This window comes from Homo sapiens, chromosome 19, assembly GCF_000001405.40.
Source record: "Homo sapiens chromosome 19, GRCh38.p14 Primary Assembly".
In the NCBI taxonomy this organism is placed as follows: Eukaryota; Metazoa; Chordata; class Mammalia; order Primates; family Hominidae; genus Homo; species Homo sapiens.
This window is the reverse complement of record NC_000019.10, coordinates 58,133,435-58,148,797: the sequence shown is the minus strand read 5'-3', so window position 1 is coordinate 58,148,797 and position 15,363 is coordinate 58,133,435. Positions and strand designations below refer to the sequence as shown.

The 15,363-nt window shown below is 46.4% G+C and overlaps 1 protein-coding gene across 11 annotated transcripts in view; it reads left to right on the top strand.

Moving 5' to 3' along the window:
- The window catches only part of ZNF329 (zinc finger protein 329), a 28,857-nt gene that overhangs the window by 6,307 nt on the left and 7,187 nt on the right, over window positions 1-15,363 (top strand). For 5 of the 11 annotated variants that reach the window (XM_011527313.3, XM_011527311.3, XM_011527314.3 and 2 more), the window contains exon 2: window positions 6,137-6,241. The exons of 3 other annotated variants lie outside the window; for them this stretch is intronic. In XM_011527313.3, the coding sequence (XP_011525615.1) occupies window positions 6,219-6,241 (23 nt within the window). In that variant the 5' untranslated portion in view covers window positions 6,137-6,218. Of the gene's footprint in view, window positions 1-5,599; window positions 5,694-6,136; window positions 6,242-15,363 lie in introns of all 11 variants that reach the window. 3 more of the 11 variants (XM_011527310.3, XM_047439443.1, NM_024620.4) reach the window with 1 other exon arrangement.

The following is a 15,363-nucleotide window of genomic DNA, read 5'->3' as shown; positions in this document are numbered from 1 at the left end:
GGCTGAGTTACTGGAAGTATGTTATAGATATCATACCTCACTCTGAAATACTTCAGCCAGGATCTCATAAGAAAAGTAACGTTCTTATTTTTTAATTTTGTATTTTTTATAGAGATGAGATCTCACTATGTTGCCCAGACTGTTCTTGAACTCCTGGTCTTAAGCAGTCCTCCTGCCTTGGCCTCCCAAAGTGGTGGGATTACAGGTGTGAGCCACCACACCCAGCCAAAAAGAACATTTGAACATTTAAACAAAACTAGTGTTATTATCACACCCAAGTATACTTTTTTTTTTTCAAAAAACTAATTGTTTTTTATTTGTAATTTTTTTTTCCTGCCAATCTGAACCTGGAAAAGAAGAAACAGGGAAATTTTTTACCTTCCTCTCTTTTTTTTTTTTTTTTTTTAATTGATCATTCTTGGGTGTTTCTCGCAGAGGGGGATTTGGCAGGGTCATAGGACAATAGTGGAGGGGAGGTCAGCAGATAAATAAGTGAACAAAGGTCTCTGGTTTTCCTAGGCAGAGGACCCTGCGGCCTTCCGCGCAGTGTTTGTGTCCCTGGGTACTTGAGATTAGGGAGTGGTGATGACTCTTAAGGAGCATGCTGCCTTCAAGCATCTGTTTAACAAAGCACATCTTGCACCGCCCTTAATCCATTTAACCCTGAGTGGACACAGCACATGTTTCAGAGAGCACAGGGTTGGGGGTAAGGTCACAGATCAACAGGATCCCAAGGCAGAAGAATTTTTCTTAGTACAGAACAAAATGAAAAGTCTCCCATGTCTACTTTCTGCACAGACACGGCAACCATCCGATTTCTCAATCTTTTCCCCACCTTTCCCCCCTTTCTATTCCACAAAACCGCCATTGTCATCATGGCCCGTTCTCATTGAGCTGTTGGGTACACCTCCCAGACGGGGTGGTGGCTGGGCATAGGGGCTCCTCACTTCCCAGTAGGGGCGGCTGGGCAGAGGCGCCCCTCACCTCCCGGACGGGGCGGCTGGCCGGGTGGGGGGGCTGACCCCCCCCACCTCCCTCCCGGACGGGGCGGCTGGCCGGGCAGAGGGTCTCCTCACTTCCCAGTGGGGCAGCCGGGCAGAGGCGCCCCTCATCTCCCAGACAGGGCGGCTGGCCGGGCGGGGGGCTGGCCCCCCACCTCCCTCCTGGACGGGGCGTCTGGCCAGGCGGAGGGCTGACCCCCCCACCTCCCTCCCGGACGGGGCGGCTGGCCGGGCGGGGGGCTGACCCCCCCACCTCCCTCCCGGGCGGGGCGGCTGGCCGGGCAGAGGGGCTCCTCACTTCCCAGTAGGGGCGGCTGGGCAGAGGCGCCCCTCACCTCCCGGACGGGGCGGCTGGCCGGGCGGGGGGCTGGCCCCCCACCTCCCTCCTGGACGGGGTGGCTGCCAGGCGGAGACGCTCCTCACTTCCCAGACGGGGTGGCTGCCGGGCGGAGGGGCTCCTCACTTCTCAGACGGGGCGGCTGCCTGGCGGAGGGGCTCCTCACTTCTCAGACGGGGCGGTTGCCAGGCGGAGGGTCTCCTCACTTCTCAGACGGGGCGGCTGGGCAGAGACGCTCCTCACCTCCCAGACGGGGTCGCGGCCGGGCAGAGGCGCTCCTCACATCCCAGATGGGGCGGCGGGGCAGAGGCGCTCCCCACATCTCAGACGATGGGCGGCCGGGCAGAGACGCTCCTCACTTCCTAGATGGGATGGCGGCCGGGCAGAGACGCTCCTCACTTTCCAGACTGGGCAGCCAGGCAGAGGGGCTCCTCACGTCCCAGATGATGGGCGGCCAGGCAGAGATGCTCCTCACTTCCCAGACAGGGTGGCGGCCGGGCAGAGGCTGCACTCTCGGCACTTTGGGAGGCCAAGGCAGGTGGCTGGGAGGTGGAGGTTGTAGCAAGCCAAGATCACGCCACTGCACTCCAGCCTGGGCACCATTGAGCACTGAGTGAACCAGACTCCGTCTGCAATCCCGGCACCTCGGGAGGCCGAGGCTGGCGGATCACTCGTGGTTAGGAGCTGGAGACCAGCCTGGCCAACACAGCGAAACCCCGTCTCCACCAAAAAAATACGAAAACCAGTCAGGCGTGGCGGCGCGTGCCTGCAATTGCAGGCACTCGGCAGGCTGAGGCGGGAGAATCAGGCAGGGAGGTTGCAGTGAGCCGAGATGGCAGCAGTACCGTCCAGCTTCGGCTCGGCATCAGAGGGAGACCGTGGAAAGAGAGGGAGAGGGAGACCGTGGGGAGAGGGAGAGGGGGAGGGGGAGAGGGAGAGGGACTACCTTCCTCTCTTGACCAGGTACCACCTACTTTTTTTTTTTAAAGATGGAATCTTACTCCGTCACCCAGGGTAGAGTGCAGTGGAGCGATCTCGGCTCACTGCAACCTCTACTTCCCAGGCTCAAGTGGTTTTCCTGCCTCAGCCTCCCAAGTAGCTGGAATTACAGGTGTGTGCCACTATGCCCAGCTAATATTTGTATTTTTAGTAGAGACGGGGTTCCGCCATGTTGGCCAGGCTGGTCTTGAACTCCTGACTTCAAGTGATCTGCCCACCTTGGCCTCCTACAGTGCTGGGATTACAGGTGTGAGCCACTGCGCCTGGCCCCAGATACTTTATTATTGATACAGAATTCCTGTCTGATATAGTTTGTATGCAGCTGATACAGTTTGTATGGTTTTTGGGTATTTGTTTTGATCCAGGATCCAATCCAGGATCCTGTGTTACATTGACTTGTCATGTTATTTTAGTCTTCCTCAACCTTGAATGGCACTCTCCTTTCTTTTTTTTTTTTTTTCATGAAATTGATATATTTTTAAAAGACCCAGCTGGTGGTTGTGTAGATTGTCACTTGATGTTCAGTTGACATTCCCAATATTAAATTCAGACTCTCGTCTTTGGCAGGGCATTGTCTAAGTGACATCATGTTCTTCTTGGTGTGTCGTGTCAGGAAGCATGTGAGGCTGGTGGTGATCAGGTTTTTGTCATGTGGTTAAAGTGCTCTCTGCCAGGATCCTCCGCTTTTTCCCCTCTGTAATTGATAAGCCATTCTAGAGATGGTACTTTGAATGTTCTTTTAATCTTATGTTCATGGTGTATTACTCATTTTGATATAGTAAGATGTTTCAAATCTTTTTCTTTATGTTTTGTGCCTTTTGTGAGTTGAGAAATTCTTTGGCTTGGCGCAGTGGCTCGCGCCTATAATCCCAGCACCTTGGGAAGCTGAGGCGGGTAGATCACTTGAGGTCAGGAGTTCAACACCAGCCTGGCCGACATGGTGAAACCCCATCTCTACTAAAAATATAAAAATTAGCTGGGTATGGTGGTGGGCACATGTAATCCAAGCTACTCAGGCAGCTGAGGCAGGAGAATCACTTAAACCCAGGAGGCGGAGGTTGCAGTGAGCTGAGATCATGCCACTACACTCCAGCCTGGGTGACAGAGTGAGGCACTGTCTCCAAAAAAAAAAAAAAAAAAAAAAAAGGAAGAAAAAAGAAATTTTTTTTGGCTTGATGTAGTGGTGGCTCACGCCTTAATCCCAGCACTTTGGGAATCTGAGGCTGGAGGATCACTTGAGCTCAGGAGTTTGAAACCAGCCTGGGCAACACAGTGAGACCCAATCTCTACAAAACATTTAAAAAAAAAAAATGGCCAGGCGCGGTGGCTCACGCCTGTAATTCCAGCACTTTGGGAGGCCGAGGCGGGCGGGTCACGAGGTCAGGAGATCGAGACCATCTTGGCTAACATGGTGAAACCCCGTCTGTACTAAAAATACAAAAAATTAGCCAGGCATGGTGGCAGGCACCTGAAGTCCCAGCTACTCGGGAGGCTGAGGCAGGAGAATGGCGTGAACCCGGGAGGCAGAGCTTGCAGTGAGCAGAGATCGCACCACTGCACTCCAGCCTGGGTGACAGATCAAAACTCTGTATCAAAAAAAAAAAAAAAAAGAAAAAAAATTATCCAGGTGTGATGGCATACTCCTATGGTCATGGCTCCTGAGCCCAGGCATTCAAGATTACAGTGAGCCATGATCATACTACTGCATTCAAGCCTGAGCATCAAAGCAAGACTCTGTCTCTTTAAAAAAAAAAAAAAAAAAAAAAATTCTTGGCTGGGCGCCATGGCTCATGCCTGTAATCCTAGCATTTTGGGAGGTCGAGGCAGGCAGATCACCTGAGGTCAGGAGTTCAAGATCAGCCTGGCCGACTTGGTGAAACCCCATCTCTATTAAAAATATAAACAATTAGCCGAGTGTGGTGACGCGTGCCTGTAATCCCAACTACTCGGGAGGCTGAGGCACGAGAGTCACTTGAACCCAGGAAGCGGAGGTTGCAGTGAGCCGAGATCGCGCCACTGCACTCCAGCCCAGCTACAGAGCGAGACTCCGTCTCAAAAAAAAAATATATATATATATATAGATAGATAGATAGATAGATAGATAGATATAGATGTAAAATTAGCTGCGTGTGGTGGCAGGTACCTGTAGTCCTGGCTACTCAGGAGGCTGAGGCAAGAGAATTGCTTGAACCCAGGAGGCGGAGGTTGCAGTGAGTTGAGATCACGCCACTGCACTCCAGCCTGGGCAACAGAGCAAGACTCCATCTGAAAAATAAAAAAATAAAAAATAACAACAACAAAAAAACCCACAATTTTTTTCTACTCTGATAACTCAAAGATATTCTTGTAGTTCTATATTTATTTATTTATTTATTTTTTGAGACTGAGTCTCGCTGTTGTTGCCCGGGCTGGAGTGAAATGGTGCAATCTCGGCTCACTGCAACCTCTGCCTCCCGGGTTCCAGCAATTCTTCTCCCTCAGCCTCCCGAGTAGCTGAGATTACGGGCGCCTGCCACCACGCCTGGCTAATTTTTGTATTTCTAGTAGAGACAGGGTTTCACTATGTTGGCCAGGCTGGTCTCGAACTCCTGACCTCGGGTGATCCACTTGCCTCGGCCTCCCAAAGTCCTGGGATTATAAGTGTGAGCCACTGCGCCCAGCCTAGTTCTATTATTTCTAATCATTCAAAAAAATTTTTTCTCACATACTATTTAGGTCTTATAAGCCTGTGTGTGAGCGTGAGTGAATTTGGAATTGTAATTATTTTTCCATCTGAAAAGACAGCACGAGATATACTTACTTTTGCTAATGTGTGAGGCCACCTTTATCACCTTTTAAATTATTAAATGCCTCCAAGTCTGTTTGGGGCTCTGTCCTTCCTGTACCTTCACTGGGTTGCTTGCTTACTGGAACTTTAAGGAGGAGCCTTGACTTTGGCAAAACAACTACTCCTAGCTCTTTTTCCTCTCTTCTTTTTGTTTTTTAAGGAGTTGTCATGGATATTTCAGGAAGCTGTCTTCTTCAGTGTGAATTTTGTCACGCATCAGTAAAATTATTCCAGAGATTTGCTTGGAAGGCATTGCTTTTACAGGTCTAGTGAGAGTTGTCCTGGTTTCAGTACCCAGCCCTTTCATCTGTGTACCTGGTCTAGCTCCTCTCTTACTCAAATGCCCTCTCAGGTCTTGAGTAAACTTTTTCAAGTTTTCACCACAAAGATACTATATAATTTTTGTTAATTTTTGTTTTCTTTTTTTTGAGATAGGGTCTTGCTGTCTCACCCAGGCTGGAGTGCAGTGGCACGATCACAGCTCACTGCAGCCTTGAGCTCCTGGGCTACCAAGTAGCTGGGACTTCAGGTATGCACCATCACGCCTGGCTAAAGGCATTTCACTACATTGTCTAAGCTGGCCTTGAACTCCTAGGCTCAAGTGATCCTCCTGCCTCAACCTCCCAAAGTGCTGGTATTACAGGTGTTATCCAGTGCACCCGGCTGTGGCTGGGCTTTCACTGTGATTAGGTAATGGGGTTGGGGTTGGGGCTTGCATAGTTTGAACTTCCTGCTGGCACCAAGGAGGAAACTCCCAGACTTTCTTGTTGGCTTGCCCAGATGAGAGGGAGAAGGAGAAAGGGGTTGGGGCTTGAAAGCTGTCAGCAACCATCCAAAATGGAGTCAGACTCTTTATCACACTTGTAATCACATGGCTGACTTTGTCAGGATGGGATTAAAGTTGGTAAATGATTTATTTTTGTTAATGAGTTGTGAACAAGTAAAGTAAACATTATTATGGGTGTCCCACAGAGATGGCTGGAGCCGTGTGGATGGGCATAAATGGCTAATGTCCAGCAACCATCGATGTCAAGTATCCACACACCTGGCCTGAATGGATCCCTCTGCCTTTCAGAGGTGAGTACCAGGGAATGGAAGTCTACATGAGCTCAGCACATCCCTGCAAGGACTGTTATTTCCTTTATAAAGTCCTAAAATACCAGAAATGTGGCAGATGGGGTCTAGACTAGTGGTTCTGACCCTTACAGACTCGACACATACTTACTCTTTTAAACAGCTTTATTGAGATATAATTCACATAGCATACAATTTACCCTTTTAAGTGTACAATTCATTGTTTTTTATTATATTAACTAGCTTGTATATCCATTGCCACAGTCAATCTTCGAATGTTTTCATCACCCCTGAAAAAGAAAACCCATACCATTAGCAGTCACTCCCCCATCTTTCCCAGCCCTAGGTAATCTCTAATCTACTTTCTGTCTTATAGATTTGCCTGTTATGGACATTTCATATAAATAGCCTGCAGTATGTGGTCTTTTGTATGTGGCTTGTTAGACTTAGGAAAATGTTTCATGTTATAGCATGGGTCTTTTTTTATTTTATTTTATTTTTGAGATGTAGTCTTGCTCTGTCACCCGAGCTGGAGTACAGTGGCACGATCAGGGCTCACTGCAAACTGCTTCCCAGGTTCAAGCAATTCTCCTGCCTCAGCCTCCCTAGTAGCTGGGATTACAGGCGAGGGCCACCATACCCGGCTAATTTGTTTTTTTTTTTTTTGAGATGGAGGTTCGCTCTTGTTGCCCAGGCTGGAGTGCAATGGCATGATCTCGGCTCACTGCAACCTCCGCCTCTTGGGTTCAAGCGATTCTCCTGCCTCAGTCTTCCGAGTAGCTGGGACTACAGGTGCATGCCACCATGCCTGGCTAATTTTTTGTATTTTTAGTAGAGATGGGGTTTCACCGTGTTACCCAGGCTGGTCTTGAATTCCTGAGCTCAAATGATCCACCTGCCTCAGCCACCCAAAGTGCTGGGATTACAGGCATGAACCACTGCACCTGGCCAAGAGCATTAGGCCAGGCCGGGCACAGTGGCTTATGCCTGTAATCGCAGCACTTTGGGAGGCCAAGGCAGGCTGATCACCTTAGGTCAGGAGTTCAAGACTAGCCTCACCAACATGGAGAAACCCCGTCTCTACTGAAAATACAAAAATTAGGCATGGTGGCACATGCCTGTAATCCCAGGTACTCGGGAGACTGAGTCAGGAGAATCACTTGAACCCGGGAGGAGGAGGTTGCAGTGAGCTGAGATCGCTCCACTGCACTTCAGTCTGGGCAACACAGCGAGACTCTGTCTCAGAAAAAAAAAAAGAGTGTTAAGCCAGGCGTGGTGGCTCACAACTGTAATCCCAGCACTTTGGAAGGCTGAGGTGGGAGGATTGCTTGAGCCCAGGAGTTCAAGACCAGCCTGGCCCATATAGTGAGACCTCATCTCTACCAAAAAAAAAAGAAAAATTTAGGCTGGGTGTGGTGGCTCACGTCTGTAATCCCAGCACTTTGCGAGGCTGAGACATGCAGATCCCTTGAGGTTAGGAGTTTAGGACCAGCCTGGCCAACATGGTGAAACCCTGTCTACTAAAAATAGAAAAATTAGCCAGGCATGGGGGCATGTGCCACTTAAGAGGCCAAGGCAAGAGAATCGCTTGAGCACAGGAGGTGGAGGTTGCAGTGAGCTGAGATCATGCCACTGTACTCCAGCCTGAGACAGAGTGAGATTCTAACTCAAAAAAAAAAAAAAAATTATGTGTGATGGTGTGCAACTGTGGTCCCAGCTACTCAGGAAGCTGAGGTGGGAGGATCACTTGAGCCCAGGAGATTGAGGCTGTGTTGAGCCTTGATTGCACCTTGCAGTCTAGGCTGGACAAGAGAGTGAGACCCTGTCTCTTAAGAAAGAAAAAAAGGGCTGGGCGCGGTGGTCACGCCTGTAATCCCAGCGCTTTGGGAGGCCGGGGTGGGCGGATCACGAGGTCAGGAGATCGAGACCATCCTGGCCAACATGGTGAAACCCCATCTCTACTAAAAAATGTACAAAAAATCAGCTGGGTGTGGTGGCGGGCACCTGTAGTCCCAGCTACTCGGGAGGCTGAGGCAGGAGAATGGCGTGAACCCGGGAGACGGAGCTTGCAGTGAGCCGAGATCACGCCACTGCACACCAGCCTTAGCAAAAGAGCAAGACTCTGTCTCAAAAAAAAAAAAAAAAGAAAGAGTTTTATAGTTGTAGCTTTTATGTTTAGGCTGATCCATTTTGAGTAAATTTTTATGTAATGTGCACGGTTTATAATCTGTTTTGCAGTGTACTCTAAATTTACTGGTAATATTAAATATCCATATAATTCTTTAAATTCTAAAGCCCTAAGTCTATGTAAAGAATCAATACAATTCTGGGGGCACTAATTCATTTCCCCCAGAACCGATCCAGTCTCATGAGAGCAAGAACTCACTACTGTGAGAACAGCACCAAGCCATTCATGCGGGTTCCACCTCCATGACCCAAACCCCTCCTGGTAGGCTGCATGCCCCAGCACCACCACAGTAGGGATTAAATTTCAGCATGAGATTTGGTGTGGACAAACCATATCCAAACCGTAGCAGTGGAATAGCTGGATCATATGACAGCTCCATATTTTCCTTTTTGAGAATCATCAGACTGGTTTCCAAATTAGCTACACTGTTTTATATTTGCACCGGCAGTGAAAAGTTTCCAGTTTTTCCATATCCTTGCCAATACTTGTTATTGTTTTTGTTTGTTTTTAAATATTGAACATACTAGTGAGTGTAAAGTGGCATCTCACTGTGGTTTTGATCAGCATTTCCCGAATACCTAATGATATTGATCATCATTTCATGTGCTCATTGGCCATTTGTATGACTTCTTTGGGGAAATATCTATTCAGAACTCCTATGGGGTGAATGTAGTGTCCCCTCAAAATTTGTATGTTGATGCCTTATCCCCACTGTGATGGTATTTGGAGATGAGGCCTGTGGGAGGTAATTAGGTCACGAGGGTAGAACCTTTTTGAATGAAATCAGTGCTCTTATAAGAGGAGACAGGAGAGCTCTCAGGAGCTCCTGCTTCCTGCTGTACCCTGTGAAGGCACACTGAGAAGGTGGCCATCTGCAAACCAGGAAGAGGACCCTCACCAGAACCAATCATGCTGACACACTGATTTTGGATTTCCTAGCCTCCAGAACTGTGAGAAATAGATTTCTGTTGTTTAAGCCACCCAGTCTATTTGTTGTAGCAGCCCAGACTAAGACAAGATCCTTCGCCCATTTCTAAAAATTGGGTTTTTGTCTTTTTATTATTGAAATGTAAGAGTTTTCGATATTCTAGATACACATAATATAAATATTTTCTCCCATTTGGTGGGTTGTGTTTTCACTTTCTTGGTGGTGTTTAAGTTTTATTTCAACAAAGGAAGTATCTGTTATGGATGAAATGGACATTCCTTTTGTTCCTCAAGGCGAGTTAGCCTCCCTACCCCCAAGAGAGACGTAATCACAGCCTTGGTTGGTGTCTTGCCAAGGCATCGTTATATTTTTATTTCTAAGAGAATATTTTGTGTGTCTGAAGAAATTCCATAAATGATATCACCCTGTATATGTCTGATTTATCTCATCTTTTATTTTCTTTTTTTCTTTTTTCTTTTTTTTAAATTTTGAGACAGTCTTGCTCTGTCTCCTCCGCCTCCTAGGTTTAAGCGATTCTTGTGCCTCAGCCTCCCGAGTAGCTGGGATTACAGATGTGCACCACCATGCCTAGCTAATTTTTGTATATTTACTGGAGATGGGGTTTGGCCGTGTCTGCCAGGCTGTTCTCAAACTCCTGGCCTCATGTGATCAGCCTGCCTCAGCCTCCCAAAGTGCTGGGATTACAGGTGTGAGCCACCGCACCCAGCCTATTTTATTTCTTTTAACTGTACGTGTGCATCTTCCCTTCACAAACGTGCGGGGAGGTGCTTTCAAGTCCCTTGTTTTCACAGGATGGCCACAGACCATGCCAGGCCCCAGTCTATCCAGAAGATTCAGAACAGGAAACATGTCATGCGGCAGGGCAGCTTCAGGAGCCCTTTCCACGGGAGGGGTCCTTGTAGCATCCAGGGGTGACAGCTGGGAGCATGGTCCTCCTGACTGGCTGGCCCCTCCACATCACTGCTGAATGCTGTGTACATAGCAAGTGTCTAAGGCCTTGGCCTGGACTTGAAAGTAAATGATTCTGATGTTTCCTTTTTTCTGATGTTTAAGGTGTGATGTTCACATTAATTTCCTATGACCCTAATTATTAAGAATTTTCCTTAGGAGTCTGAGGTTTCCTTAAAGTACTTTTTGAATTTTTGAGATAAAGGATCTATTACTTGAATCTGAGAGTATTTTGATCATGAGTCTTGGTGAGATTTTTTTCATATTACTTTCTGAATGTATTGGGATAAGGTGTAAGGGCGCTGTCTTCTACTTTAATCTGATAATATGGGGAATTGTGTTAATAGATGTTCCAATGTTTCCTAGTCCTTACATTCCTAGGATAAATCCAACTTTGCCATTTTGTTAACCTTACACTGTTAGTTAAACCCCTGTCTGACAATTAATATCACTTATGTGTTCATTTTTGCTTTTTAAAAAATTTTATTTATTTATTGAGACAGGGTCTTGCTCTGTCAGCTAGGCTGGAGTGAAGTGGCACTCTCTCCGTTCACTGCAACCTCTGACCCCCAGGCTCAAGCGATTGTCCCACCTCAGCTTCCCAAGTAGCTGGGACCACAGGTGCATACCAGTACGCCTGGCTTTTTTTTTTTTTTTTTTTTTTTGTATTTTTTGTAGAGATGGGGTCTCACTGTGTTGCCCAGGGTGGTCTCAAACTCCTGACCTCAAGCAGTCCACCTGCCTTAGCCTCCCAAAGTGTTGGGATTACAGGTATGAGCCACCATGTCTGGCCTTTTTCTTGCTGTTTTTTAATGGTCTCTTTCATTTGTCTTTTCAAATGACAGACTTGGTTTTCTTCATTTTCTCAACTGGTTTCTTGTTTTTAATTTCCATAATTTCTGCTGCGATTTTTTTTTTCCCCTGAGGCAGTCTTGCTCTGTCACCCAGGCTAGAGTGCAGTGGCACGATCTCGGCTCACTGCAACCTCCGCTTCCTGGGTTCAAGTGATTCTCCTGTCTCAGCCTCCCGAGTAGCTAGGACTACAGGCACCTGCCACCATGCCTGGCTAATTTTTATACTTTTAGTAGAGACGAGGTGTCACCTTGTTGATCAGGCTGGTCTCGAATGCCTGACCTCAGGTGATCCACCTGCCTCGGCCTCCCAAAGTGCTGGGATTATAGGTGTGAGCCGCCGTGCCCAGCCTCTGCTGTGATTTTTATTAACACTTTCCTTCTACCTCCCATTGGTTTAGTCCATAGTTCTTTCCCATAAGTTGTAAATTGAACAGTGAGATCACTAGTCTTCGGTCTTCTTTTCTTTTAGTCAATTATAATCAAGTTAATGGTGAGCCCTAAAAGTACAACTACATAAAAAGTCCCATTTTTTACATGTTTAAACTGTTTTTTTTTTTTTTTTATCTGTACTTACAAGGTGTTGAAGGTGGGACTTACTCCTGAATCTTCTTTCTAGTGGTGGAATAAGGTACATATCACTTTGAGTTTATGGCTTGTCCAATGAGTTTACAAGCAGTAGGTTGTTTATTGTTGGAGGATCATCAGTCATACAGTGAAGCCAACAAGACCATTCTGAGGGCACCATGCGTTACCCACATCCCAGAATGTGTTATTGCCATTCATTTCAATGATACATAGAACCCATCAGCGATGGCCTAAAGAAAATCTGTGGGCAGCCTTGGAGACCACCATGGCTGTTGACTTGCTGCCATCTGTAGCTTCAGGACCCACAGTAACTTCATCTTTAGTCCCTTTTTTTTTTTTTTTTTTTTTTTTGGAGACAGTCTTACTCTGTCACCCAGGCTGGAGTGCAGTGATGCGATCATGACTCACTGCAGCCTTGAACTCCTGAACTTCTGGGCTCAAGGGATATTCCTGCCTCAGCTTCCCAACTACCTGGGACTAAAGGCGAGTTACACCACCACACCCAGCTAACTTTTTTTTTCTTTCATAGAGACACAGTCTTACTATGATAATCAGGCTGGTTTCAAACTCCTGGCTTCAAGTGATATCCCTGCCTCAGCCTCTAAAAGTTCTGGGATTACAGGTGTGAGCCACCATGCCTGACCTAGCCTTCTTTTTAAAATATAGGCATTAAAGACCAGCATTTTCAATCTAGGAACTATTAGCTGCATTCTGCATTCTCATTTGCCACATGTTTTGAGATGTGCTGTTTTCATCATTGTGTAGTTGTAGGTGTTTTCCTTTTCTTTTTTTTCTTTTTTTTTTTTGAGATGGAGTCTCGCTCTGTCACCCAGACTGGAGTCAGTGGCATGATCTCGGCTGACTGCAACCTCTGCCTCCCAGGTTCAAGCGATTCTCCTGCCTCAGCCTCCCGAGTAGCTGGGAGTACAGGCATGCGCCACCATGCCTGGCTAATTTTTGTATTTTTAGTAGAGATGGGGTTTCACTATATTGGCCAGGCTGGTCTTGAACTCCTGACCTCGTGATCCACCTGCCTCTGCCCCCTAAAGTGCTGGGATTACAAGGCATGAGCCACCGTGCGTGGCCTGTTCTAGGTGTTTTGTAATTTCTATCAGGTTTTCTCTTTGATCTGTCAATTACTGAGAAACAAGTTTTTATTTTTCCAAATAAATAGGAGTTTGCTTTACTCGCTGTTTTATTATATTTGGTTTTCTTTCTGTTACTGGCTTTTAACTTGCTGCCTCGAAGTCAAGAGGCTGTAGTCTGGGCTTTGTTGAACTTTTTCTTTGACCTAGTCAGTGTTAGCAAATATTCCACTTGTGCTTAGAAAGAAAGCATTTTATTTTAATTTGTACGTAGATTTTCATCCAGCTGTGTGATCAGATTGGGTAACTACATTCTGTCCTGCATAACTCTTTTCCATTCTTCTGCGTTTTCATTTCTAAAAGAGGTTCATTAAAACCTCCCACCTGCCGGGTGCAGTGGCTCATGCCTATAATCCCAGCACTTTGTGGGGCCGAAGCAGGCAGATCACCTGAGGCCAGGAGTGCGAGACCAGCCTGGTCAACATGGTGAAACCTGTCTCTACTAAAAATACAAAAATTAGCTGGCGTAGTGGTGGGCACCTGTAATCCCATCTCGGGAGGCTGAGGCAGGAGAACTGCTTGAACCCGGGAGGTAGAGGTTGCAATGAGCCGAGATCGTGCCACTGCACTCTAGCCTTGGCGACAAGAGTGAGACTCCGTCTCAAAAAAAAAAATTAAATAGATAAAATAAAACCTCCCACTATGGCTGGTTGCAGTGGCATGTGCCTATAGTCCCAGCTACTCATGAAGCTGAGGCAGGAGGATCGCTTGTGCTCTGGAGTTTGAGGCCAGCCTGGGCAACATACTGAGACCCCCATTATAAAAATTAAACAATTACATTAAAACATTTTTTAAAATTTAAATATAATCTGAGCTACTTGATCAGAAAAAAAAACCTCAAAAAACAGATAAATAAAATTTCCCACTATCCTTAGATTTGCTGTTTTCTTCCTACAAACCTAGCTGGCTTTGCTCTGTGTTTTTTTGTTGTTGATTGTTTGTTTGTTTGTTTTTTGAGATGGAGTTTTGCTCTGTTGCCCAGGCTGGAGTTCAGTGGGTCAATCTTGGCTCACTGCAACCTCTGTCTCCCAGATTCAAGCAATTCTTCTGCTTCAGCCTCCTGGAGTAGCTGGGATTACAGGCATGTGCCACCATGCCTCGCTAATTTTTGTGTTTTTGTAGAGACATGGTTTTACCATGTTGGCCAGGCTGGTCTTGAACTCCTGACCTCAAGTGATCCGCCTGCCTCAGCCTACCAAAGTGCTGGGATTACAGGCATGAGCCACCGCGCCCGGCCTGCTCTGTGTTTTGAGGCATGTTGTTACTGTTACATTGCCCTGTGATCCTCACTTGAAATTTTTCTTTGGTTTGTAAAGAGCCACAAAACCCTTCTTTGTTTGGCATTCACCTGTCCCATCCTTTCACTTTTGGCTTTTATGTCCTTTTGCTTTAGGAATACCTGTTACAAACATGTTTTTTAATACAGTCTAATGCAGTCTTTATCTGACCCATCAAGGCCATTTATATTTATTGTAATTGTTGATACCTTACTTTACACTTTGTATTTAGTCTGTCCTTTTTGTGCTGTTTTTTACCCCTTACCAGCTTTCTGGATTGATCGGGTTTTTTGTCTGTTTGTTTTTGTTTTTAATTCTGACCTCCCTCTACAATGTTTTTCAACTTCAGTACTATGGACATTTGGGGCTGGATCATTTTGTGTTGTGGAAGTCCATCCTGTGCATTATAGGATATTTAGCAGCATCCGTGGCTCCTAGGAACATCTGCCCCCTAGTCAGACTGACAACCAAAATCATCTCCAGATATTGCCAAGTATCTTCTGGAAGTAGAAACATCCCTGGTTAAAAACTACTGCTCTGTGGGCTTAGATGTTTTATACTACATTTATTCTTTTAATTCTGACTTGAGCAGGTCTAACATGAATCATGAGAAACTTGAGGACTTCAGAACACTTGATTCTGTTGCCCCATTCCCACCTCATTGGCCACTGTTGTCTAGTATATTAGTCTATCCCATTAATTCCAAGTCGTGATTTCTGCATTTCATGTGGTCAGCATTGGATTTGATTTAAATATACATTCATCAGTTTTTTTTTTTTAAGAGATGACATCTCACTGTGTTGCCCAGACTAGTCATAAATGCCTGGGCTCAAGTGATCCCCCCACCTCGACCTCCCAAAGTGCTGGGATTACAGGTGTGAGTCACCACACCTAGCCCACATTCATCATATTCATCAATTCCTTTGTTTTTCCTTCCTTCGTTCTTGGGGTTTTTTTGAAGAACAACATTTTCTAATTCCTCTGGCTAGTATCCTTGGAAATGAACTCTGCTTTTGCTTTTCTGAATTTTTTTTTTTTTTGAGACAGTCTCACTGTTGTCCAGGCTGGAGTGAATCATAGCTCACCGCAGCCTCAACCCCTGGAGCTCAAGCAATTCTCCTACTTCAGCTTCCCAAGTAGTTGGGACTAACAGGCGCATGCCACCACACCCTGCTAATT